Source organism: Homo sapiens, chromosome 6, assembly GCF_000001405.40.
Source record: "Homo sapiens chromosome 6, GRCh38.p14 Primary Assembly".
NCBI lineage: Eukaryota > Metazoa > Chordata > Mammalia > Primates > Hominidae > Homo > Homo sapiens.
In genome coordinates, this window is record NC_000006.12 from 137,009,212 (window position 1) to 137,035,976 (window position 26,765).

At 40.2% G+C, this 26,765-nt stretch overlaps 1 protein-coding gene across 5 annotated transcripts in view, besides 2 other annotated features; it reads right to left on the reverse strand.

Annotated features, from left to right (window-relative positions):
- IL20RA (interleukin 20 receptor subunit alpha) overlaps positions 1–26,765 on the reverse strand; it is a 44,995-nt gene that overhangs the window by 9,241 nt on the left and 8,989 nt on the right. For 2 of the 5 annotated variants that reach the window (NM_014432.4, NM_001278722.2), the window contains exons 2-4: positions 7,757–7,892; positions 2,063–2,241; positions 106–281 (exon numbers count right to left, since the gene is read on the reverse strand). In NM_014432.4, the coding sequence (NP_055247.4) occupies positions 106–281; positions 2,063–2,241; positions 7,757–7,892 (491 nt within the window). Of the gene's footprint in view, positions 1–105; positions 282–2,062; positions 2,245–7,756; positions 7,893–26,765 lie in introns of all 5 variants that reach the window. The other 3 variants (XM_017010954.3, NM_001278724.4, NM_001278723.3) reach the window with 3 other exon arrangements.
- Positions 7,769–7,938: an enhancer, noted in NCBI's record as "experimental_90349 CRE fragment used in MPRA reporter constructs". NCBI's record gives its function as "activates a minimal promoter by MPRAs in K562 erythroleukemia cells, with activity observed for the introgressed 6:137338202 variant allele {active_cell/tissue: K562}" and the evidence as "EXISTENCE:reporter gene assay evidence [ECO:0000049][PMID:34662402]".
- Positions 10,580–10,749: an enhancer, noted in NCBI's record as "experimental_90351 CRE fragment used in MPRA reporter constructs". NCBI's record gives its function as "activates a minimal promoter by MPRAs in K562 erythroleukemia cells, with activity observed for both the introgressed and non-introgressed 6:137341013 variant alleles {active_cell/tissue: K562}" and the evidence as "EXISTENCE:reporter gene assay evidence [ECO:0000049][PMID:34662402]".

Sequence of the window (26,765 nt, forward strand, 5' to 3'; positions counted from 1 at the left end):
ACTTCCCAGATTCACATGCAGAGAATCAATGCATCAGGGTTGTTTGTTCCCACATTAGCTACAGAGTGGTACATGAATGTATGCCCCATTCCATTTCAGGCTTACCGTTCTGTTTGATTTAGTATTCAACACAGACACGTTATACTTCAGATTGGAGTATATTTGTTGCATGGAAACAGGAAGGTCTTCTGGATTTCTCTTCCACTTCTCTGGAGCTGTCAGGACAACAGAAATGGACTTCTCATCTGTAGTCAGTGCCACCTCTGGTGGGCCAATTTGTGCTTAAAGGGGGAGAAAGAGGGTATTATCATGTTCAGATGAAAAATTACCTTAGGTAAAGCTACCATATAATCCTACTTGGATCAAGGCCCTAAAAGACATCCTTTTTTTTTTTTTTTTTTTTTTTTTTTTTGAGATGGAGTCTTGCCCCCTCGCCTAGGCTGGAGTGCAATGGCATGATCTCGGCTCACTGCAACCTCCACCTCCTGGGTTCAAGCGATTCTCCTGCCTCAGCCTCCCAAGTAGCTAGGATTACAGGTGCCTGCCAACACACCCAGCTAATTTTTGTATTTTTAGTAGAGACGGGGTTTCATCATGTTGGCCAGGCTTGTCTCGAACTCCTGATCCTGTGATCCGTCCACCTCGGCCTCCCAAAGTGTTGGGATTACAGGCATGAGCCACCGCGCCCAGCCTTAAAAGACACCTTCTTACAGGAGATGCCCCAAAATGTACTAAGGTGGGCCTGAGATATGCCAGATCTTGAAACCATCCTGAAACCAACCTTGAAACCAACCTTCACACAGCCTGATCCCATGTTAGAACAGCAAACTCAAGTATTCTGTTTCCTTAGTCACATGCATAAACAGTAGATGGTTAATACAATCAAAACTGTTTGTAAGATTTCTGTGACTTGAAAAGTTGGTGATAAATGACAACAACATGACTTGATAAGTGGAAAATCAGAGATGTGATTAGAATGATCTAGAACAGAGACCAGGCGACTTTTATCCTAAAGGTCTGGACAGTAAATATTTCAGGCATCGCAGGCCATATGATCTTTGTTGCACTACTCCACTCTTGCTGTATTGCGAAAGCAATCTAAGGTAACTGTGTAAACAAATGAGTGTGGCTTGTGCCCCAATAAAACTTTATTTATGAATAGACATCAACATTTCAATTTCCTTTACTTTTCCAATGTCACAAAATATTCCTTGGATTTTTAGAAACTATTTAAAAATATAAATACCATTCTTAACTCTTGGCTTGTAGAAAAACAGAAAGGGTGTTGTTGGATTTGTCCCAAGGGTAGTTTTCTGACCTCTGATCCGGAAGGGCTCCTGGACTTATGGAGCACTTGCAGAGCTCATTATGGCAGCCCTGAGTGGGTCCTTCATGACTGAGTCAGCCATAGCTCAGGGGATGGCAACATTTTAAAAGTAAATACCAGGAAGAAGTTGCCTTAATTCTGGGTTACACTTGGAAATTACATCATCACACTACCAAGTTCATACAAGAAGAAGCATAGTGGATAATCAGGACAATGTTTAATCAATCTTGTGGAGACATTAATAGTCCATAAACCCACATTAAATAAAGTCATTTTGTTCCTCAAATTACATAGCTTCCACAAAGTAGTAAGACAAAGTCAAAATTTGATATCATTGTCATCTAGTATCAATTTTGGATCTGGGAGAGATCTTAGAGACCACTTGGTTAAACCTTTCACTCTAAAGATGAGACTCAGGCTGGGTGCGGTGGCTTATGCCTGTAACCCTAACACTTTGAGAAGCTGAGGTGGGAAGATAGCATGAGCCCAGGAGTTTGAGACCAGCCTGGCAACATAATGAGGCCCTGTCTCTACAGTCAATCAATCAATCAGTCAATCAAGGTGAGACTCAGAGCCAGCAAGGTTAAGGACTTTGTCCTGCTCACTCAACCCACTGGTCCAGAATACAGCCAAGCAGAGTACCTTCCTCTGGGCAAGGCTGTCTGTGAGGCTGAGACTGTTAAACCTGATATGAATACATGTTTAACTGACCATTGCAATAATGGCATTACTTACTTTCTAAAAAAGGATAGAACCGTCCACTTTCAGCCCATTTGGAACACTTTGTTCCCCAAATGGCCTTAACTTTGGCATAATACTGGTGTTCGTAGTCAGAAGTTTCAGCAGAAAGATCACAGTAGGTTCTATTGATATTTCTGCATTCTGATTTATTCAGCCATTTCTTTTGCCCATATCTGCTAAGAAAGAAGCTGAATTAATAATGAGGTGCCCTCTATACTTTACAATAAAAAAACTCAGTCATTTTATAAAACTGAATGGAACTGACGACCTTCTCTTCAGAAAAACAAAAGTGCCTGTCATTGAGATAAAAAAGAATCCACTTTTGCGGTGGGCAATTTTTTTCATCAGCTGTCAGGAACATGAGTCAGAGTTTCTGTAATCACCTTTCTTTCTGTGAATTATAATGTGGACAGTATATTTTGGAAGCATATATTTTACTGTTATTCTTTGGCTACAGTGAAATTTTTACATATTGTGTGATCAATTCTTCTAGTAATTATCTGTGTAGGTTTTTAGTCTACTATGTACACGAGGTCAGTTTGACGGATTGTTTGAAGAACAGTTTGTCATTTTTTTCTTGGAAGAAAAATTACTTTGACGTTCTCATAGCATATAAAAATCTAAGTATCAATGATTCTAGGGAAAATACACGAGGCTGGAGTGCATACAGAAATCTGCATTTTTGATAATTATAGTGATGATGATAATATTGACTAGATTGGTCATACTGATTTTCCTTTTCTTTATTAAAAACACAACCCCCATAGCAAATAGGGAGGTGGCAATATTTTCAGCCCTTTTCAGGTGGGAGAGACTGAAGTGTAGAGTTCAGGTAACATGTGATAAGCCAGTGAAAGGGACAGGGGAGGCAGTTTGGGAAAGGTGATGGGTTACAAGTGGCAGCCTAGGGAACAGCTGAGAGGACACTACAGTGGTCCAGGGGAAGATGTAGGTCGCTTGGACAAGGACAGGGGCAGTAGGATAAATAAGGACAGGACAAAAGCAAGAAATATTAGGAGATAGGACTTGGTGATAGAAAACATGTAACAGATTAGGGAAATGAAGGTGTTAAGGATGCTGTCTCTTTCTGTCTGGGGCAGATGGGTGGAATGGTGGTGATATTTACTACGAAAAAGAGCACTGAGACAGAACAGATTTGGGAAATGGATGGGGAGGCAGAGCAGGAGGGGAAGATAAGATGTTCACTTTTGATGCCTTGAGCCTGAGTATGTTAGAGATATCCCACTGCAGATGCCCAGTGGGCAATGGGTCTCAGGAGAGACATGTGTGTGGGAGGTAGGGATTTTGGAGTCAATGTCATCAAACTGCTCATTGATGGCACAAGCATGAATGAATGATCCATGGAAACAAAATAAAGTCTAGGATAAAATTTCAGGAGCGTCAAGATTTAAAGGTTGGATAGAAAGAAGACCTGGAAATAGCAACTAAAGAGGGATGAGAAAAAAATATCATAAAGGTCAAGGGAAGAGTGTGTCTTGAGAAAGAGGATATGTCCATGTATTGCCAAAGCTTAAGGATATTTTCTCTTTTCAGAATATGGCAACAGATTTCTGAAAGTAAATGTTTCCCATTTCCTAAGTACCATACCTACCAAAAGACATCAGAAATATAGTCAGATCTTACTGATCAACTTCTCCATCCAAGTGATCACTGTTACTTAAGGGCTTTCAATTTTTTTTTTTGACCATGATCCACAGGGAAAAGAAAAATACATTTTATATTGTGATTCAGCTCACAAAATATAAAACTATCTAACATATTAAAACAAAAATTGTACAAGAAAATATTTAAACTTTACCACATGCCTTGCATTCAGTTATTTTTCATTCCAGTCCATTCCACACCATTCCATTCCTTTCCATTAAAAATAATATCCCTCAACATTCATTTCATGAGTCATCAAAGAGTCCTGAATTGTGGCTTGAAGACTATTGCCATTGCCTATGTGGCCCCTCCCTCCTCAAACTTCCTCACTCTGCCAAAGGCAAGGCAGCTTCCCATGACAGATGCTGATGCAGGAGAAAAGGCTCTTTACAAGATTTTCAACAAAATAAATGAATGATGACCAGAATCACTCAGCAAATATTCCAGTAATGACACTCACGCATGGCAAACAGCCATATGGGGCCCTCAGTGGTCTCTGATTTACAAGCTTTATCTCACTAATTATCATAACAACCCTAGGGGGTAGGTACTCTTATTTTCATCCCATTTTACAGATGAGACAGCTGAGGCTCAGGGAGATTAAGGGATCCACTCAAATTCACATGACTAGTAAACAGCATTCCTGGGATTTGAACCACTCTTCCCTGACGCCAAAACTTCTGTTTTTAGTGCTACATTCTATTTTTTTGCATTAATTGTTTTGGTGGATAGAATTTAAACTTTTGGAAAATTTTCACCTTGGAAACAAACTTCACTCAAAAGTATAAAAGTATAATCTGTAACCTTCCCAGCTAGGTTCATAGCCTGGCTATGAACTGGGGACTGTCTGACTCCAGAGCTGAGCTTGGAGCCCTCTGGCAGTGAAATACATTGTCTTATATTCCTGTCCCTCTTTCACATGCACAGGCATGTAAGAACTCCAACATCGCAAGCTTCTTTTTAAAAACATATTTTTAAAAGTTGCACAATCTGAGTGATCTGCTCACACGAAGCAGTGATGACTCTTGTCTATTTTTTAAAAATCCCTTTCTGGATCACATAAAACATAAAGGACAGAGCAAGCTCTTTGCTCCACCTAATGGATAAGGAGGCAAGGACATGCTCACGAGCCTTTTCTCTGCAAAGTGATTTCTTTCCTCTAACACTGGCTCCTGAGAAACTCCTTGGAAATGAGAATGAGGTTCTAGATAAATGAGGTCACTGTGAGTCGCTGCTGAAGTCTTTCACTGGTTTTAGTTATCTGAATTTTTTTTTCAAAGACAAAACTGACTTTATTCTTTTTTGAAAATATGGTAAATTTTTTTAATTCAAACAATCAAACAATTCAGAAAGTATAATCAAAAGAGAAACAAATCATCCTAAAACCCATTACCCTGGAACATTTGGTGTGTATGATTCTGGATATCTCATTGTGCTTCTGTATAAACAGAAGGACGATATGATAGCAGAATAGATGGACAAAAATTAGATTATACCATACATATGGTTTTAATAAAAGTAGTCAATTCAATGTGCCTTGAACTTTGATAGAAAAAAGAAATTGAAGTGAGATTAAAGAAACTACAGAAGTGCAAATGTTTGTCACCACAAGACATATTTGTTCCTAAAAGAGCTTTTAAATTAAGAAAATGGTTTGTGAAAAATATTGAGAGGTTAATTATTAAAATAATAAAATATTGTCATTTTAGATGACATTTAATGGCTTCTGGCTATGAAAATCAGTACACTTATAGTTCCCCCCCCCTTTTCCACCTTATATTATTGTTTAAATTCAAATTATTTCTAAGAAACTTCTATAATTACATTTCCATCACTATTTAGTCTTAGTTCTACACTGAGATGAATTCCATGCATGCTACCAGTCTTTTGGTCATCACTAAGTTCTTCTTTTGGGTTTGTCTTTATCTCTCTGTTAGCTGGAGGTCGTCTTTAGTTAGTGCTCCACCTCATCCTCCAGGAAGATCTCAGAAAAGTGATCTCCTGAGTTCCCACCTGCTTCCAAACACCAGTCTACTGAACTTCGTAAGAGTCTTAGGTTATACTTGTCTTTTCCTCACAAGATATATTCTGTTGAGTGTTGCCAGATTGAAATTCTCCCTTTCTCTCAACTTGAGTTCTGCTTTTGCTAAAATGGCCATGAATCATTTAATTATCTTAAAGTCCAATAACTTCACCAGGATATGTCTTGCTATTGTTTTTACCAATTTTTTTCTAGACACACCACACATTTATGATACACAGTTCCAAACAGTTTTTATTACCTGTTCAACCATTACTATCACTTAGCTCTAACAGGTTTTTCATCTTGATACAGTATTTTTATATTCCAGCATTTTCCTAAGCTCTGCACACTTCCTTAAAAAAAAGCATGTTCTCCCTGTTGTCTTAGAAACTCTTCTTTCACTGTTTTCTCTTCTTTGAGTTTTACCTTTACAGATCCTGTTGTTTATGCACTCTAACAAAATTATGGACTGTTATTTATTTTAATTCTTCCTTACTTCCATAGCAAAGCTTTCTGGAAACTTGTATTCTGTTTTCTTCTTTCCCCCTTCCAGTAATTATGAATAGGCGCTATGCTAGTTCCCTTGGGACTATTACTTTTTGAGTGGGGCCAGCTGTTTGTTGAACAGGCAAATGGATATAAGAATAGGGCTCAGATAATGAGCTTTTGCTCTCCATAATTTTTGTTTGTTTGTTTGTTTGTTTGTTTGTGAAAAGACTTGGCTTTATTGTCCAGACTGGAGAGCAGTGGCATGATCTCAGCTCACTGGAACCTCCACCTTCCAGCTCAAGCCATCCTCCCACCTCAGCATCCCAAGTAGATGGGACTACAGGCATGCACTATCATGACCGGCTAATTTTTGTATTTTTTGTAGAGACAGGGTTTTGTCATGTTGCACAGGTTGGTTTTGAACTTGTGAGCTCATGCGATCCAGAAGTCTTGGCCTCCTAAAGTGCTGAGATTACAGGTGAGAGCCACCGTGTCCGGCCAATGCTCTCCATAATTTTAAACTTCTGTTTCCATCAAACACCCTCTCACCAAATCCATTATTCCCTTTGCTCCCTGTGAAGCCTGTCTGCCCTCAGGTTTTGGGCTGCAGGAGGCTGATGTCGTAGCCTTCCTGGGCTGCCTCCCAGCCAGTGCCACCTCCCTTTCCTCCTGACCCCGGCTCATTCCCAGCTTCTCCCTGGGCTGTGACAGGGCCTCCACAATGGACATGTCCTGTGTGCCTGATTTCTATTTCAGTTTCACCACCTCTGATATTCTGTGGCACCCAGCTGGGGCTCCATGGGGACATTTCCTTAATTTCTGGTGGTGGCAATCCTTAGATTTCCATGCTCTCAGATTGTTAGGTGGGCCTCTTTGCACTGTGATACTTATTTTGTGAAATCATTTCCTGTGGTTGGAGCTGGGAAGGTGTAGGTAGGTTTGCCTTCAGTTTCTGCAGCTGTTTTTCTTCAGATTCCACAAGATTTGGCTTGGATGGTTCCTAGTTTGTGGTCAGGGTTGTGGCCATTTCCTTTGTTTCTCTGAAGATGGACACTGACTATCTGTCTTGCATTCTTTCCTGCTTGCAATGAGTTTTGAGGGCCAGATGAAATGTCTATTCACTGCTATCTTTAAGTGCAACAGCTGATCACACCAAATGTGCACGCGGTTTCAAGGAGTCTAAGGATGCCTATAATTCCAAACAGCTTAGAAATTTCAAGATGATGGATTGCCTTGTTTGCTCAGCCACCTAATAATGTTTTATTATTAGAAACTTCTTTTCTCTGTCTAAATAACCTTGCCTTGCCTGAGCCCCCCAATGCCTCTGTCTCCATGAAGAAACTGTTTTCTAATTTAATCTTACAAAACATCCAGAAAACTTAACCTGAAATATCTAAAACTTTTCTCTTTTTCAAACACATTTAATACCACGGAGAGTTTATCTTTACACAATTCACAAGAGTCTGAGTCTTGTGTTTGTAAGCTAGCCAAAAGGAAAAGAAGAAACTTACATGAAATACTGCACAGTGTAAGTAACTTTAACTCCTTGAAGACCCTCTGGTGGAGTCCATTGTAGGACATTCTTCATGTTGATGGATAAGAAGGTGATGTTTGCAGGTTTAGGCAAACCACCAGAGACACAGGGAACTGAAAAAGGAGCAGAAAGGAATTGAGGTCTTAGTAGCAGAAAAGGAAAACATGATTCCTGTAGCAGCTAGTCTCCAGAGATGGCCCCCAATACGGCCTTCCAGTATGCATGCCCTATGTAACATCTCTGAAATGGAAAAGAGAATGTGGCAGAGGTGGCTCTGGGACTAAGCCAGGACTTTTGCTTTTCAAAAAAATTCCCGAGTTGCTATGTAAAATAACAGCTAACTTGCTGGAGAGACCATGTTGAGAGATTGCACGAAGAGAGGCTCAGTTGTCCTGGTGTCCCAGCTGAGCCCAGCCTTCCAATTAAGGGGCCACAATGAAGTTACTGTGGCCATTCTAGCCCCTTCTGTCACAGGCTGAAGCTGCATGAGAGACCTCGTGTGAGATCAGCAGAAGAATCATCTGGCAGAGCCCCAGTTAATCCCCAGAAATTTAAGAAATAATAAAATGATTGTTTTAAACCACTAAGTTTTGGGGGTAGTTTGTTATGCACAGCAGAGAACTAAAACAATCTCTTTATTAAATATAAAAACAAAATTTAGAGTAGGTGACCCCGAGAGGCCAGAGTTTCAAAGGTTAGAATTGGGACTGCCTTTACTAAAGAATATAGTAAAGCAATAATTAGAAAAGGAACCAATGAAATAAGACAATTTATTTAAATAAACACTGATATGTTCACATAGGTGCACTCTAAGAAAAACTGTATCCTAGAGGATTAATTTACAGAAATCCTTGTAGAGAAATGGTAAAGAATTGAGAAACTACTAAAAACTTGGAAAAGGAAAGGAGAGGCTACTTTCTTATAAAATAAAGCAAAGATAATCCTTGGATTAAAGTAAATGAAAAAATTCAGTGGTAATATGTAGGAATCAAAATATTAATTTAAAATATTGGAAAGATCACAAAGCACGGAGTGATAACCAATCAGGTTTTATGAACAACTTATCCTGTCACAAATATGCACATTCTAGTCAATCAATGAACTTGAAAAATATAAAATATTAATACTGCCAATCAAACTTAGGAAATAAAATTTAGTTCAGTCACTGATGGCAGGTCCAATCTTGGCTAAGGATCATAATTCTTGAGTAAAGTAGCTGGGACTAATGTCAGAGAAAGGAATTATGTGTGAGGTAATCCTTAGTTAAGATTAGTTCTATACAATGTATTGTTATTTTGCAAGCCAAGTGAAAAGAAAAATTATTTACTTTAGAATTAAACTTTGTAATATCACCCTGATTCTAAGCAAAATTAGCTCTTTAGTGTAAAGATGGCTGAGTGTAGGTATGCTTGTGTTATAATTGTCATGACTCCTACTTTTAACCTTGCTCATTTAAAAAATTTTGTTTTATTTTTTTAAAAAATGTTACAGAGAAGCACAATCAATTGACCACTGCCGTGTGCGTGTGTGTGTGTGTGTGTGTGTGTGTGTGTGTGTGTTAGGGGTAGGGGAATCTCAAAAGGACATAGCCTGCCCAACATCAGTCTTTGATTTCTTCTTGTAATTCTTTGGAACCATTGGGTAGCAAGTGGTGTTGGTATTTTCTGGAGATTACATAGAGTGAATATTTATCAATGATTTAATACTGCTTTGTGGTACTACTAGGTTCTCAATTTTAATCAGATTTTTGAAGACAAAATAGAACATGAGGAGGCAGCACATTGAGTATAACACTTCTCAGCTCTTCCAAAATGTGGAACCCATTTAACATAAAAATTGCCAAGGATCTTTCCAGAGCTAAAATGCTGTGGCCTACATTTTTAGATGGCCTTAACATATGAAGAGTGGTTAGCATCTTATACAAAATAAAATAGACTGTGCATTATAATATCACTGGTGGAAGACATTGTCAAAACATGGCTTTATAGAAATGAAAAGGAAATTGAACATTTTGGTTTGTGGCAACATGAGTTTGGAGATAGAAAACAGAAGTTATCTTAGATAGTATAGTCCAGGCATATCGTCTCAAGGTTCAATCTGTACAAATCTTTATCTTCTACAACACTGTATTCTATTTATCTTTTTTTTTTTTTTGAGACAGAGTCTCACTCTGTTGCCCATGCTGGAGTGCAGTGGCATGACCTCAGCTCACTGCAACCTCCACTTCCCAGGTTCAAATGATTCTCTTGCCTCAGCCTCCCAAATAGTTGGGATTACAGGCACTCACCACCATGCCTGGCTAATTTTTTTGTATTTATAGTAGAGATGGGGTTTTGCCATGTTGGCCAGGCTGGTCTCCAACTCCTGACCTCAGGTGATCCTGCCATCTTGGCCTCCCAAAGTGCTGGGATTACAGGTATGAGCCACCGCGCCCAGCCCTATTTGTTTTTTTAATGTGAGTAAAGAAATGACAGAGCTCTCAAGATGCCTAAAACATACCCAAAAAAGTTTTGAGAAATAACTTGGAGTAAAAGAAATAGACAGGCAATTTTATTTTAATTTAGTTTTTTTGGTTGCTGTCATAAGGAAACAAAGCAATTTTTCTCTTCTGAAATAAACTATACTCTGGAATGTTCTGTCAATAATTAATGTTCATTGATTCAGTAGACAGTTTGATTAATGCTTTGTAATTGTCTAAATGGTCCTTCACAAATGCTATGCCAATTGTTGAAATGTTAGCAAACTCTGGTAATGATATTAAACCAACAGAATGAATAATGTGACAATAATAACATTAAAAAATAATGTTCTTATGCCATTCTATTCTTTGAGAAGAGAATATATTTCATTATAAATGCTGTGAACTATGTATGCCTCCCCTGCACGTCTACATTATGGGTAAATCTTATCTATCACCATGACTGTGGTAGCTGGCCTCCAATAATCCCTTCCTCTTGGCATTCACAGGTTGTATCATTCTCTCCCACATTGTGCCTGGGTTGGTCTGTGTGTCCAATAAAATATGACAAAAGCCATGACAAAAGACACTTCTGAGATTAGGTGATAAAAGGCACTGTGGCTTCTGTCTTGTTTTCTTTGTCTTGGATCATTTGCATGGGCAACACCAGCTGCTTTGTTGTGAGTGGCCCTGTGGAGGCCCATGTGGCAAAGTAACTGAGGCTTCCCAAAGCTGCTGAAGAACTGAGTGAAGCCTCCTGCCAAGAGGAACGTTAGTGATCTTAGAAGTGGATCCTCCGACCCCAGTCCAGCCTTCGGATGACTGCAGCCCCAGCTTGCCTCTTGACTACACTACTGTGAAAGACCTTCAGCCAAAACCACTTGGCTAAGCCCTTACTGGAATCCTGACCCTCAAAAAATATGTGAGATAATATTTGTTGTTTAAAGCTATTAAGTGTAAGGTAATTTGTTACCTAATAGTAGAGAATGAATACAACAATGATTCTAAAACTGAAAGCATCTAAGACAGACCAATCACTAAAAAAAAAAAAAAAACCCCTCCATTCCCAATAATTTAATAAATGGCTCTTGCCTTAACAATTTTGAGAAATGTTCTTTCTAATAGTTTGATTTTATGTTTATGAAAAAAATTAAAAACTACCCGAGGAGAAGACCAGAAACTTACTATCTTTTTAATAGCAAGTAAAGATCACAGTAAAAACTTTTTGAATTTTTTTTTAAAAAACAAATGCTTAGTTAAGCTCATTGCAAATACGCTGACAAGATTTCAGAGTAATAAACATCTTTAACAGAAATCCACTTAAAAATGAATGTTATATTTTGTACACTGCATCTGGGGAAAAAATACTACAGCTTTTAGACCTGCAGTTTCTTCCTTTGGATTGACGTTATCTTTCTGATGGCAGAGGCAGAAAATGTTTCAGTTTTGGATCATCCTGTTGTCAATAAATCAAACTATTATTCAGGGGCAGACCTGTCATGAGAAAAGTAGGTCACGTCTTGATATCAGCCCATCTCTAAATCTCTCCAGGACACAAAATATTCCTGTTATGACATGGTCTGCTGGTTTTGAAACCTTTTTTTTTTTTTTAAATCAGAACAAATTAAGCCACGTTAGTCATCTTTCCTTAGATCAGGCAAAGCACATCTTGTCTCTCTGCTTGTCGACATTTTATTTTCAGAAATGGATGCTTATAAATTGCTGTGGATTAGTAGTATTTTGTTAATTATGGACTTTTAATAATGTGTCTTTGATCAATGGAAATAGATGGTTCTTACTACAGAGAGGTTTGACTTTTCTGCAAAGAGGAGTTAAAAGAATTCTCTCACATGGACTGCTTGTTCCTTTGGATTAGTTCTGGTTTCACCTGGAAATGGTATCATATATTTGGGTATGATTAAAAATAATGTTGTGGCCAGGCGTGGTATCTCACACCTGTAACCCCAGCACTTTGGGAGGCCAAGGCAGGTAGATCACTTGAGGTGAGGAGTTCGAGACCAGCCTGGGCAACATGGTGAAACCCTGTTTCTAGCAAAAAAAAAAAAACACAAGAAACAAAAATTAGCCGGCATGGTGGTGGGCACCTGTAGTCCCAGCTATTTGGGAGGTTGGGGCAGGAGAATCACTTGAACCAGGAAGGCAGAGGTTGCAGAGAGCCACTGCACTCCAGCCTGGGCAACAGAGCGAGACTCTGTCTCAAAAAATAAAATGTTGAAAGTGGGATCCACTTATGACAGGCTAAGAGGCTCTGTTTTAATAATAATAATAAATATTGTGAAAGCCTTTATATGTTAAAATGTATTTAGTCGATATGAGCAAGTTGGTTGGCATATAATAAAAATAGTCGCTAATACTTACTAAATCCTTACCACACAGCCAGGATGGTCTATGTGCTTTACACAAACCAACTCATTCAGTTTCCATAACAGCCCTATGGTAGGTACTATTGTTATCATCTCTATTATACAGATGAGGAAACTGAGGCACAGAGGAGTTTAGTAAGTTGCCACAAATTCACACAGCTAGTAAGTGGAGGAGCTGAGTTCAGAACCCATACTCTTAACCTCCTCACTCACATGCCAGCGTTGTAAACCAAGTAGAATTTAAGCAGAATTTAAAGATAAGAAAAGGCTGATGAGAAAACATGTATTAATCTATGATATTAATACATCAAATAATTTGGGAATTTAAAAATGTTAGATACTAATCTGTTCAGCAAATTTTTTGGGATCCCACCACATTTTGTCATAGGAGGTCCGTTCCTTTTCCTGCCAGAATATGTCCTCCCTTATCTGGTCCTAGGGAATGCAAGCAGAAACTCCTCCTCTTTTGACACGTTCTCCAGATGATATGGTGACCACGAAGGTAGGGATTCCTAGAAGATTGTGTTGGACTCTACTCTGGTTTATGTTTAGTTGCCGAGAACAGGATTTCTATTAATTTGAAACCACAGTTAAATTTATAGATATGGACACATATATTTCACCTTGGCCTTGGACTTTAGCTCTTTGTCTCCCATATAAATCATACTATAGTCAATCCTATCTGTATTGATGAGAAACATCAGTTCGACACTCATCTGATTCAGTCATTCAACTCATATTTATTGGGTATGCTTATGGGTTGAATTGTGTTCCTCTCTTGCAAAAACAAATAAATAAAAATAAAATATATATTAAAGTCTTAACCTCTGAGTACTTCAGAATGTGACCTATTTGGAAATAGAGTTGTTGCAGATACAGTTAACATGAGATCATACTGAAGTCAGGTGGGCTCCTGATTCAGTATAACAGATATCCTTATAAGAAGACAGCCATGGGAAGACACAGAGACACAAGGAGAATGCCATGTGAAGACGAAGGACTGGAGTGATGCACCTACAAGCCAAGAAATGACTGGGACCACCAGGAGTTGGAAGAAGCAAGGAAGGAGGCTTCTCTAGTCTTCAGAAGGAGTGTGGTGCTGCCAACACCTTGATTTTGACTTCTAGCTTCCAAAACTGTGAGAGAATAAATTGTGTTTTTTAAAGCAAACCGGTGGTACTTTGCCATGGCAGCCCTTGAATACTAACACAGTGCCTACCATGTGGATATCTTATGGTGAATAGACAGGTAAGTTCCTGCCCTTGCAGAGCTTCCAGGGTAGTAGGAAGAGAGACATCATTAAAAAGTAAAAAACAAAAACAAATATATACATAAAAATTTGGTGATCAGACTAAGCAAGGGAGTAAGGCTGGAGTGGTGGGTCACAGAACCCATAAATACACAGGGCCTTAGGAGAGGGCAGTGTTCTAGGCACTGAGATGGGAAAGGGCCTATCCAAAAGGACAGTGTCTTTGGAACTGTCAAAATATCAGTTTGGAAAGCTGACAAAGAGGACAGTGGCCAAGATGAAATCTAAGGAGTACAAAGGAGCTAGATCCCCCATCTCTCTAAACTCTGGGAAAATGCCTGGATTATATTTGAAATTCATGGGAAAGTATTGAATCCTTTGCTGCAGGGGAAAATATGAACCTATTTATATTTCAAATGGATCACTTCACTGCTGAAGGGAGAAAAGACTGTATAGACCAAGAGGAGAAGGGAGAAGCCAGTGAGACCATAACTGCAGTAGCTCCATTGTGCACCAAGATGCAGGCTGTGGAGAGGGAGATGCATGGGAAGCTTGGAACTCAAGTTTCAAACTAGAAGTGGGACCTGCCGATGAAGCAGAACTGCACAGGTCCCATCAGGAAGAGAGTGGCTGTGCTGTGAAAGTAAAATTAACAGATGAAGATCTAGCAAGGAATACTCATGCTTTTATCTATTTTGATGATGCAAAGGAGTGATAAAAAATAGAATTAGCCCAGGTGTGTGGGCTCACACCTGTAATCCCAGCACTTAAGAAAGCCAAGGCAGGCAGATCACTTGAGGTCAGGAGTTTGAGACCAGCCTGGCCAACATGGTGAAACACTGTCTCTACTAAAAATACAAAAATTAGCCAGATACAGTGGCAGGCACCTGTAATCCCAGCTACTTGGGAGGCTGAGGCAGAAGAATTGCTTGAACCCAGGAGGTGGAGGTTGCAGTGAGCCAAGATCGCACCACTGCATTCCAGCCTGGGTGGCAGAGTGAGACTCTATCTAAAAACAAAACAAAACAAAACAAAACAAGAGTTAGCACTTTTATTTAAAGGAAAAGAAATAGTACATTTAAAAAAGAAATACGATTTGATAACTAGTATTCTCTTTAGTTTAAAAAAAATTGCGAAGTTTTTAGGCACTGTGTTTGTTTCAAGTTTGAAAAGCATGATGAAAGATTCCTGAATAAACATTTCAATGGAGAGAAATCAATTTTCTAACCTGCTAGTACTGATAAGGTCATTGAATCAACACCAGAGTGAAAACATGTCACACCCACATTGCTATCAGGAAATGTGTGCCAATTTATGGGTAACAAATGCATTTTAACAAATAGATTTATGGTCTGGAAGCATGGCTCTGATTCTCTGAGATATTTGAGATTTCACATCCCAAATTAAAAAGCCATTGGATTGGTGCACATAGTTTTATGTTTGGGGAGTGCCAGACCATCATGACTTTGGTTTGGTACACAAATTCTTCAGATGGGCAGGTCCAATGTCTCCTTTTGCAATTCTGCCAAATGCACCGTGTTCACCAGCCCCACCAAAATACCTTCAATACTTGAACCTACCCTGTTTTTTCACACCTTTGCGTTTAGGTCCCTTCTGCCTCTAGCATTCTTTTGGAACTGAGACCCCTTGGTTTTCCATGTGTGCATCATTGAATAAATACTGGCTTGTGCTATTTTAATGACATGATTGTGCTGTGATGTGTAGGGTGTGTGTGGTCTCCACTAAAGTGAGCAATCCTGACCACAGACACCTGGGCAGGAGACTGATCTTTCCAGAGGAAGCAGAACTCAGAAGACTGAGGGAAGGGTCATCAACTCTGGACTCCCTTTGAGCTTTGAACGATGGAAGGATATGTGAGGATGCCCCTTTGAGTTGTGGGTTAAAGATGGCCTCTGCCTTCACAAAGTTGTGAGGAGTCGGCAAGGAACTATCCATTTAATGAACTTCGAGGTAATGATTGATTTCCTGTAGCTTGTAAGCCACATAGAGATTTGTGTCCCCTCTCAGTGTTTATTTCCCTTTTATTATATTATAACTTGGCACCATAAATGGAATGTGTGTGTTCCTCCTCCCCATCAAAACATTCACAGGTTAAATCCTAACACCCAATGTATGGTGTTTGGAGGTGGGGCCTTTGGGAAGTGATTAGGTCATAAGGGCAGAGCCCTCATGAGTGGGATTAGTGCCCTTATAAAAGAGGCCCCAGAGAGGTCCCTTGCCCCTTCCAACATGTGAGGACATAGTGAGAAGATGACCATCTATGAACCAGGAAGTGGGCCCTCTCCATCCACCAAATCTGCCTTGATCTTGGACTTCCCAGCCTTAGAAGTGTCAGAAATAAACTTCTGTTTTTTATAATTCACTCAATCTATCACATTCTGTTCTAGCAGCTGGAATGAACTAATGCATTTGGTCTTTGGGAAATTCTTCTAGCCCAGCTTCATTTATGCTCTAGCACCAAAGGAAAAAGTTCTCTGTTTGCTCGCAGGTCCTTCCAGTAGGAAGATAATGGATTAATAAGATAGATCTAAATGGGTAAATTTATCATTAGTGGAGTTTTATAAAATGCAGCTGCTACATTTGTTCTAAGAGTTACCTTGAATACAGGTCTGTAAGTATAGCAAAATGGTTTGTGACCATTTCCTAATGGCCTCAAAGTGAATACTAGGGTTGCCATCTAAGTATGTTACAGTTTTAATTATATGTCTGACAGTAAAAGTTGTTTCTTTTTAGTTGTACTCAAGGAAAAGCCTACGCATACGTGAGTGCCTGATGAACACCAGTTAAAAGGGTAAGGTTCTCAGGGTGAACTCATAAACAGCCAGGGTAATCAGCCTCTGTGGTTAACCCAACCTCTCTTTTGTGGCTGAGGCATTTAGACTTTCCCATTATGGCCAGCACATTCATTAATCAGTACAGAAAGCAAACAAATCGCAAGAGACTGGACAGCCAAATGTGATCACTTCTGGAGACTCCCCTTTGGGACCATTCAAGTTTCTGAAGCTTATGACCAACTGGGGCAGCCTTAGCATTTCAGAAGCCCTGCTCCACCTTGCTCAGAAAAAGTCCCCAGATGTCCTACCCCCTTTAGCCTTCTAAAGCTGAAGCTGTGAAGGAATCAGAGGCTCTGATCTGTTGGACACCAGGTCTTATAAGGTCTTTGTATTCTCAGTGTCTGGCAAATAAATGCTTTGGAAATGAACTGACCAGGAACTCTTCGGGCTGACATAAATCATGGCAGATCCTAGATTCACATGAGCATTGAATTGAAGTGGAACAGCTTGAACTACCAAATCTGTGTAGCTTGAATTCACCTTGGTAAGCTTACATTACACACAGGATCTGCACAGTCAGAAGATACTCAACAGCTGCGTTTTAATGAAGGCACAGTAACCCATGGCATGGCAAGTGGTTGCTACATATTTTATGTGTATTTTTAAATAGGAAAATACCTTCATAGGCTTGTAGGGAAAGAAAATTTCCATCCCAAGTGAGTTTTCTACTGTGGGAACAAGGTTAAAAGGCAGTACAGAAACACCAGGGGATGATTGACTAATTTCAGGAAGCGGATGTTGTAAACAATGACATTCTAACCGCCGAAGAGCAAAACAGGTATGACTGCCTTCACATAGATTATCTTAAGCATTGTTTTAATTTCATCATGTTGAAAGGAACGGCATGTTTTCTTCTGTCCCAAGTTACGAATCCTTTCTCTTGAAAAATATTAATTGATCTCCCTTCTTCTTCCTAATTATATATCAAGTTCCCACAAAAAGTAAGTCTTCTTTTTTTTTTTGAGATGGAGTGTCACTCTTGTTGCCCAGGCTGGAGTGTAGTGGCGCAATCTTGGCTCACTGCAACCTCCGCCTCCCAGGCTGAAGCCATTCTCCTGCCTCAGCCTCCTGAGTAGCTGGGGATTACATGCGCCCGCCACCACGCCCAGCTAATTTTTGTATTTTTAGTGAGATGGGGTTTCACCATGTTGGCCAGGCTGGCCTCAAACTCCTGTTCTCAGGTGGTCCACCCGCCTTGGCCTCCCAAAGTGCTGGGATTACAGGCATGAGCCACCACGCCTGGCTGAAAAGTAAGTCTTCTAAACAGCACTTACAATATGATTCAGTGAGGACCTACCTGAGAAAAAAGCTGCACAACTGTCGTCTATAAAGGACAGAGCACGATTCGGTGCTAGCATTAGTTCCGTTGCACTTGATTTTCTTCCCCTAACCACCACCTCACTATTATTTCTCTGACTAATTGCTGGACTGGTGCGCTGCCTCAGTTTTCTCTGTAATAATACTGTCCATTCTTACAAGGTACTGCCAACTGCCCTAACCCAATGGTTGCTAGTAATTGTTTATGTGAGTAGCTCAGGGAGAGATTCCAGAACCAAAGTTCTAGGGTCACACTGGAGCCTACTCCATGCTCTACGTCTTACCAGCTATGCGCCCTCAAGCCAGTTACTTAACCTCTGTGCCTCAATTTCCCCATTTGGAAAATGGAACAGTACTATCTGCCTCTTAGGCTTGTTGCAATGATTAAGATTCTTCACATAGAGCTCCTGGAACAGTGCCCGGCACAAAGAAAGAGCTCAGGAATTATTCGCTCAGTATTGTCCTCCAAAGTTACCATCCTCATTTTACAGCTTAGTGGATAGAGGCCCAGGGAGGTTGAATGACTTGCCCATGGTTTTTCAGCCATTTGGTGGATGCTCAGGCCCAAGTGTGCTGGCCAAGACAGGGCTCTCGCCTGGGATACTTACATTTAGGTAAGTGGGAAATGCTCCCAAGTACAGTGTTGTGGGAAGAAAAGATTATATGACCAAGATCAATTTTGCATATTAAAGATTGTGGCTTCTAAGGAAAGATATAAAAAAGTCAATGAGGTAAACTCAAGTATTATTCTTTTAAGCTTTTCCTGGTGGAACTGTTCATAGTTATATTCGTGTGACAAATAGTTACTGGTACCTACTATGGGCTAGAAGTAGAATATATGATAGGCACGGGGGTACAGTTGAGGACAGAAATAGACAGAAGGGCTGGGCACAGTGGCTCACGCCTATAATCCTAGCACTCTGGGAGGCCGAGGTGGTTGGATCACCTGAGGTCAGGAGTTCAAGACCAGCCTGGCCAACATGGTGAAACCCCATCTCTATTAAAATTACAAAAATTAGCTGGGCATGGTGGCGTGCCCCTGTAGTCCCAGCTACTTGGGAGGCTGAGGCAGGAGAATAGCTTGAACTTGGGAGACAGGTTGCAGTGAGCTGAGATCGTGCCACTGCACTCCAGCCTGGGTGACAGAGTGAGACTCCATCTAAAAAAAAAAAAAAAAAAAAGAAATTGACAGAAAGCCCTGCTCTCGTGGAGGAGATATTTTCTGAGTCTGGGGCACAACCCATCAATATATACTTTCTCTGCCAGGTACCTGCACATTTATATGGATGAGCAATACATAAGTCATACAGAAAAATTGGTGTTATTTCTTTATGGCCACACCTCAGTAAGTAAATCTATGTGCTTAAACATGTTTTTTTAGTATTTTGCTGTTGGTGCTTCATAGCAAGTAAGACTTTAACATACAGACTATTTAAAATAAAATAAATCTATTGAATTTTACCCACTAAAGAGAGTGTGTATCTTTAAAGTCCTTTACTTGGGAGGGTTTATGATTATTCTCATGATACTTCTTAGCTCATGGCATTTGAGGGATGTTTCCTTTCAGCTACAATTATCTTCAGAAGTAGCTTAGAAACATGAAAAAAAAATTCAATCTCATTTTTTAAATAGTTACATCTTGTTTTTGCTCAATATAGCATTTCCCAGCCTGATCACCCAAACTTGTGGAAAGTGGCTTTGAATGCTTTCAACAATAAAATTCATTCCCCCAAGTTGAAAGTTTGCCACTCAATGGGATATTCTGATCAGTGCGTGCCAAGCTGTACCTGCAACTGAGAAAAGGGAGCTTATGAAATTCATTGTTGTGAGATTTTTGTGTGTAGCCTCCCATAATGACTATTATTAATTTGTATAAGCCAGCCCCATTGTTAGAAAACCAGTCCCACTACTTTATGTCATCTCTTAGATTATATAAAGCTCTTCCCTTACCTTTTAGAAAATAAACTTTTTGGGCCAGGCATGGTGGCTTGCACCTGTAATCCCAGCGCTTTGGGAGGCCAAGGTGGGTGGATCACCTGAGGCCAGGAGTTTGAGATCAGCCTGACCAATATGGTGAAACTCCATCTCTATTAATAATATGAAATTAGCCAGGCATGGTGGTATGTGACTGTAGTCTCAGCTACTCGAGAGGCTGAGACAGAAGAATTGCCTGAACCTGGGAGGCGGAGGTTGTAGAGAGCTGAGATCGCTCCACTGCACTTCTGCCTGGGCAACAGAGTGAGACTGTGTCTCTAAAATAAAATAAAATAAAATAAACTTTTTGAGAGTGAGTACCTAATGTTCTTCACATGTTATAATCTCCAAAACATCTCAATTGGTAGTAATGATCATCATAGTAACTGGAAAAGTAGATTCAAATATGGGTTGAAATCTTTACTACTTGATAATATGCATAGGAAGGGAAAATATAAAAGAAAGAACATGGTCAAAGACAAACTGTTTGGGACCACTAAAGTACTGAAAAGAATAGCTGTTGGAAACTCCAAGTTCAACCAGTAACTATTTCTTAAATATCAACACTTTATTCCTCAAATCATTTTCAACACTAGTACTTCTTTTTATCCTCCTAGAGGCAATGCAATTCTTCCACTAATATCTTCATGACTTGAAATTTTCAGAAGGAAAGTCAACAAGATAAAAGTGCAAGAAAAAAATAATAGAAAAGGTAAAAAAAAATGAGGCAGAAATGATTAAATGGTAAATAATGGACAAAAGAGCATTAGAGAAAGGGAGGAAAATAGAGATTCTTTCATTTTCATTAAAGAATTATGGTGGAAAATGTCAGCGGTTTGCGGGTTTTTTTTTTTTTTTTTTTTTTTTTTTTGAGACAGGGTCTGACTCTATCACCCAGGCTGGAGTGCAGTGGCATGATCATAGCTCACTGCAGCCTCAAAATCCTGGGCTCAAGTGGTCCTCCCTCCTCAGTCTCCTGAGTAGCTGGGAACACAGATGCATGCCACCATGACTGGCTAAGTTTTAAAACATTGTTTTGTAGAGACGGGGTCTCATTAATGTTGCCCAAGCTGGTCTCAAACTTTTGGGCTCAAGTGATCCTCCTACCTCAACCACCCAAAGTGTTGGGATGACAGGCATGAGCCACCATGCTCGGCCACCAGTTTTCAATGCATATATCAGTAAGTACTTCAGTAAGCTGAAAAGCAACAGCAAGGCTATTTGGCAAAGAATAAATAAGATTAATGGGATGTAAAACAGTGTAACTCTTTCCCCTCATGACACACACTTCTGGGTGCCTCCTTTACTCATAAAGACCACATGTCCCCATCATCAGCTTTCCCAAAGTTTTATATTTATGTATTTAATTTACACTTGCACATGTGACATTGTCCTTAGGAAGGTTAGAAGGAATAAAGAAAAAGGAACAGTGGGACAAGGCAATAACAAACATTATTTTTGTTGCCTTTCTCAAATGATTTAATCTTAACCAATCATTTGAGAAAGGCAGTGAAAATAATTTTGGTTTATTGATTAACCCCAAGAGTTGGTTCTTTTTCTTTTTCAAAGGGAAAAAATGAAAAAAAAAAGTTTCCCAATACTCAGACGTAGTAACTTTTCAATTTGCCCAGTGGATCAGTACAGGGATAATTCAAACACTCCTTGGACATCTCTGGAGTATGCTTTCAGCATCACCTCCCCTTCACCTCCTCCACTATTATGTACCCATTCTCACCTTTTATACTTATTTCCTCCCAGCCACCCATCTCAACAGTTACTATTCATTGTAAATATTTACTGTTCCTTACCGTTAACAATAACTATTGTTATTATATGAATAACTGCCATTATTATCAGTAATAAACATTGCCACGAATTACTTATCTGTGGGAAGCAGGCAAATGGCAGGCCAATGGCAGTGGACATCAAAAGACTTAAAACAGCCCATTTCCTCCAAGCACATCCAATTCGCTCACCTATGCTGGATACCCTTCCTGCATAAGTTACCTTTCAGCCTATAACAGCCACAATAAATTAACAAGCAGTGCTGTTGCTGGGGCCCTGGATGATACAATGTACAGCTGGGTGTAGCTGGGTAACTGCACTGCTAGCTCAAAGATCAACTTAAACCACTGGTGCACACTTCAGAAATAATGTCACGTGCTGCAAAACAACGTTCAGTCAATGATGCTGGTCCCATAAGATGATGTATATATAAGATGTGTATCTATTTTTAGATACACAAATACTATTGTGTTACAAATGCCTACAGTATTCAGTACAGTAGCATGCAGTACAGGTTGGTAGCCTAGGGGTAAATTGGCTATGCCATATATCCTAGGTGTGTAGTGGTAGGCTATTTCATTTAGGTTTGGGGAAGTACATTCTATGATGTTTGCACAAGGATGAAATCACCTAAGGACACACTTCTGAGAAGGTATCCCCATCATCAAGTGATGCTTCACTGTTACAGAACTATGTCCTTCGTATAATCCTGTATCAGGTTGTGATCAAGAAAATGAAAGAGGATGGTTATCCAGTATGAGGCTGGGTGTGTTGGCTCATGCCTGTAGTTACAGCATTTTGGGAGGCCGAGGTTGGCAGATCACTTAAGGCCAGGAGTTCTAGACCAGCCTGGCCAACATGGCAAAACCCCATCTCTACTAAACAAAAATTAGTCGGTCGTGGCAGCGCACGTGCCTGTAATCCCAGCTACTTGGGAGGCTGAGTCATGAGAATCACTTGAACCTGGGAGGCAGAGGTTGTAGTGAGCCAAGATCGTGCCACTGCACTCCAGCCTGGGCGACAGAGCAAGATTCTGTCTCAAAAAAAAAAAAAAAAAAAGAAAAGAAAAAAAAGAAAATAAATCCAGTATGGTATCTACTTGGTATGAATTAGAATAAGCTCTGTGGAGAGGAAAAAGATTGTTGTGTTGTTGCATAGGTGGTAATGTGGGGAGACTCCTGGGGGAAATGTAAGAAATGTGGAGGGTTAGGCAGGGGCTAGTTTCAGTGGCAGGAGACAGCTGGTGGGAACCAGGGTACAAAGGCCAGCCCCAAGGACAGAGTGACAGGGCAGGTTCCCTCAGGCGGGTGGAGGGCACAAGGCAGGTGAAGTGATGGCCTGGTACTGCCCAGGCAGTGGTCATCTCTGGGCCTCAGAAATCATGGAACCCTACTCCTTCATAGATGAGAAAACCAAAGCCCATTCAAGGTAAGTGACTTGCCCACAGAGGGCAGTGGACGAGGAGGGGCTGAACTTCCATCCTCTGATTTCCCGATTGCTATTCTTTCCACATGGCCCTGAGATCCTGGCTCCAAGTTCTCACTTTCTGTTTCGGTGGAAGCATTTGTGTACAGTAATTTCAATGTTGCATTTCTTTTAACTTTCAAGAAAATAATGAATAGTATTTACTTCTGCTGATTGTTGCTTGGAATTTGGAGGCAAATGAGATTGACGGCATGATCTCAACTGGAATCTCAGACTTTCCAATCACACACCAGGAAGATAGAAGTGTTCGGTAGCCATCAAGAACACTATCAGAATGATGAATTGTTTTGAGGGTGACCAGGACTAGGATCGGACCTCTTCAAGGCTGAATTACGCCTTGATAAAGTTGTGTAACTAAATGCAGTAAAATGAACAGAGATTCCATATGCTGAACAGGACTTGCAGAAGACTGGCTCTTTGAGGTACTTACATTATTTTGCCACAAGATATAAAACAAGAGTAATCAGGATAAAAGCAGGGCAATAATGAAGAGACGCCCACAAAGAAGAGTCCAAGTCCCTTGTATTAGTTTCCTAGGGCTGCCAAAACAAAGTACCACAAACTAGGTGGCTTAAAACAATGGACATTCATTATCTCACAGCTCTAAGGCTGGATGTCTGATATCAAGGAGTCAGCAGGGCCACACTCCCTCAGATGGTTCTAGAAAACTATGTTTCATTGCCTCTTTCAGCTCCTGGTGGCCCCAGGTGTTCCTTGGCTCATGGCAACATCACTCCAGTCTCTGCTCACCTTGGCCTTCATGTGGTTTTTCTGAGTCCCATCCTCTTCTTACAAGGACACCAGTCCACCCTAATTCTGGGATGATTTCATCATGAAATCTTATATAGTTTGGATATGTGTCCTTGCCCAAATCTCATGTTGAAGTACTAAAAATTCCCAATGTAAGAGGTAGGACCTGGTGGGAGGTGATTGGACCATGGGGGTGGATTTCTCATGAATGGAATGCCCACAAAGTGGGCATTAGTGGTTTAGCACCACCCGCTTGGTGCTGTTCTCCTGATAGTGAGTGAGTTCTCACAAGATCTGGTTGTTTAAAGTGTGTAGCACCTCCCCACCATTGCTCTCTCTTGTTTCTGCCCAGGCCATGTGACATGCTTGCTCCCCTTCCGCCTTCTGCCATGATTGTAAGTTTCCTGAGGCCTCCCCAAAAGCCAAGCAGGTGCCAGCACCATTCTTCCAGTGTAGCCTGTAGAACCAAGTGCCAATTAAACTTATTTTCTTTATAAATTTCCCGGTCACAGGTATTTCTTTGTAGCAAGGCGAGAATGGACCAATACAAAATTCTGAACTAATTACGTCTGCAAAAACTCTACTTCCAAATAAGGTCATATTCTGAGGTTGTAGGTGGAAATTACTTTTGGGAGGACACTATTCAATTCACTGTTTCATTGCAACACCTCCAGAAACAACTTGGATACTGGACCAGGCAAGACAGTTCCTTTGATGTTGTTCATGAAAGTTAACAGAGTCCTTAAAGGACTGGGTTGACTCAGGAAGTGGTAAATAGTACCTATGTCAGAAGCCACAGCATAATGTGTGCCTTTTGATTACTGTGGTTTGAGTGAGTGTTGCAAAGAGCCGCAGACCACAGTGGCTTGTTGAGGCTGCCGATGATCTTGAGGTCAGTGTCCTACAGTCACAAAACCCCTGACTCCTACCCACTAGATGACTACCACTCAGAAAAATCATCCTTTCCATGGGATTTTGCTATTATTGGATTTTTGTTTGTTTGTTCATTTTTAGTGTTTTAAGAAAGAAATGTATGTGAAAAGGAATATTAACTACTTGGTAATTTATATATGGAATATGCTGATAGCAGGACTTAGCTTTATTTGTTTGCTAATATTTAAATTTAAAAGACCTGAATTTATTTTATTTTTTATATTTTATTTTATTTTATTTTAAGTTTCAGGATACACGTGCAGAATGTGCAGGTTTGTTACATAGGTAAACCGTATGCCACGGTGGTTTGCTGCACCTATCAACCCATCACCTAGGTGATAAGCCCTGCATGCATTAGCTATTTATCCTGATGCTCTCCCTCCCCCAGCACTCCTCACAGGCCCCGGTGTGTGTTGTTCCCCTCCCTGTGTCCATGTGTTCTCATTGTTCAGCTCCCACTTAAGAGTGAGAACATGTGGGCCAGGTGCGGTGGCTCACGCCTGTAATCCCAGCACTTTGGGAGGCCAAGGCGGGCAGATCACAAGGTCAGGAGATGGAGACCACCCTGGCTAACACGGTGAAACCCTGTCTCTACTAAAAATATAAAAAAAAAAATGAGCCGGGCGTGGTGGCGGGCGCCTGTAGTCCTAGCTACTTGGGAGGCTGAGGCAGGAGAATGGTGAGAACCCGGAAGGCGGAGGTTGCAGTGAGCCGAGATTGTGCCACTGCACTCCAGCCTGGGTGAAAGAGCGAGACTCCATCTCAGAAAAAAAAAAAAAAAAAGAGTGGGAACATGTGGTATTTGGTTTTCTGTTCTTGTGTTAGTTTGCTGAGGATAATGGCCTCCAGCTTCATCCATGTCCCTGCAAAAGGACATGATCCCATTCCTTTTTATGGCTGCATAGTACTCCATGGTGTATATTACCACATTTTTAAAAAGATCTAAATTTATATTGAATTATAAATATTTTATATAACATAGATGGCAACCTACTTATGACTACTGATTGAATTAATATGGTTTTTACTAAAAGTATTTAAGGTATTTATTCATAGAAAGGCATTTACTTGGATATCAAATTTCTTTTCTGATTCACCTTTTATCCTTGAGTAAGGAGAATGTGATGTGATATATACATATGCATACATGTATATTAATTAACCAACAACTCTTATAAGTCTCAGTTTAAAGGACCTTCCTATAGGAAGCCCTGCCTGACACCATTATTAGATCAGGTGTCTTATCCTATGCTTCTAAAGAAACTGTTTTCCTCAATTCTGGCATTTACATTTTAATGCAATCACTTACTTGTCTATATTTCTCTGAAGACTAAATGAAGAAAGGGCCCTTGTTTTCTTGTTCACCCTGAAGCCTAGAACAGCTCCCCATATGTATAAAAGGATGACACTGAATGAATGAGTGAGCAAAAATCACTCGAAGGATTATTTAGAAATTACACTGAGTCGGGATATAGTTAAATGTTTTGAAAACTCAAAATGGATGCATGGGGTATTGAGGTAATCCTATTTTGTTAAATCTGATCACTTCAAATACCTCATTCCCTACATTATGGGCTGCATGTGATATTCTACTTTGCACTTAAAATTGATAAGCTAATTTTAAAAATAATAAGTTGAGCATTTAGTAGATAATTTATAGACATTCTGCAACATAGATGGGTTCGTTGGAAAGGGAGAGGGATGCTGGGCTGGAAGACTATGGGTAGTTACGCCTTACATATGAAAATGGTCTTTGTTGGAACAAGGGAGAGGATTTCTCAGGGCAAGTGCTCCCT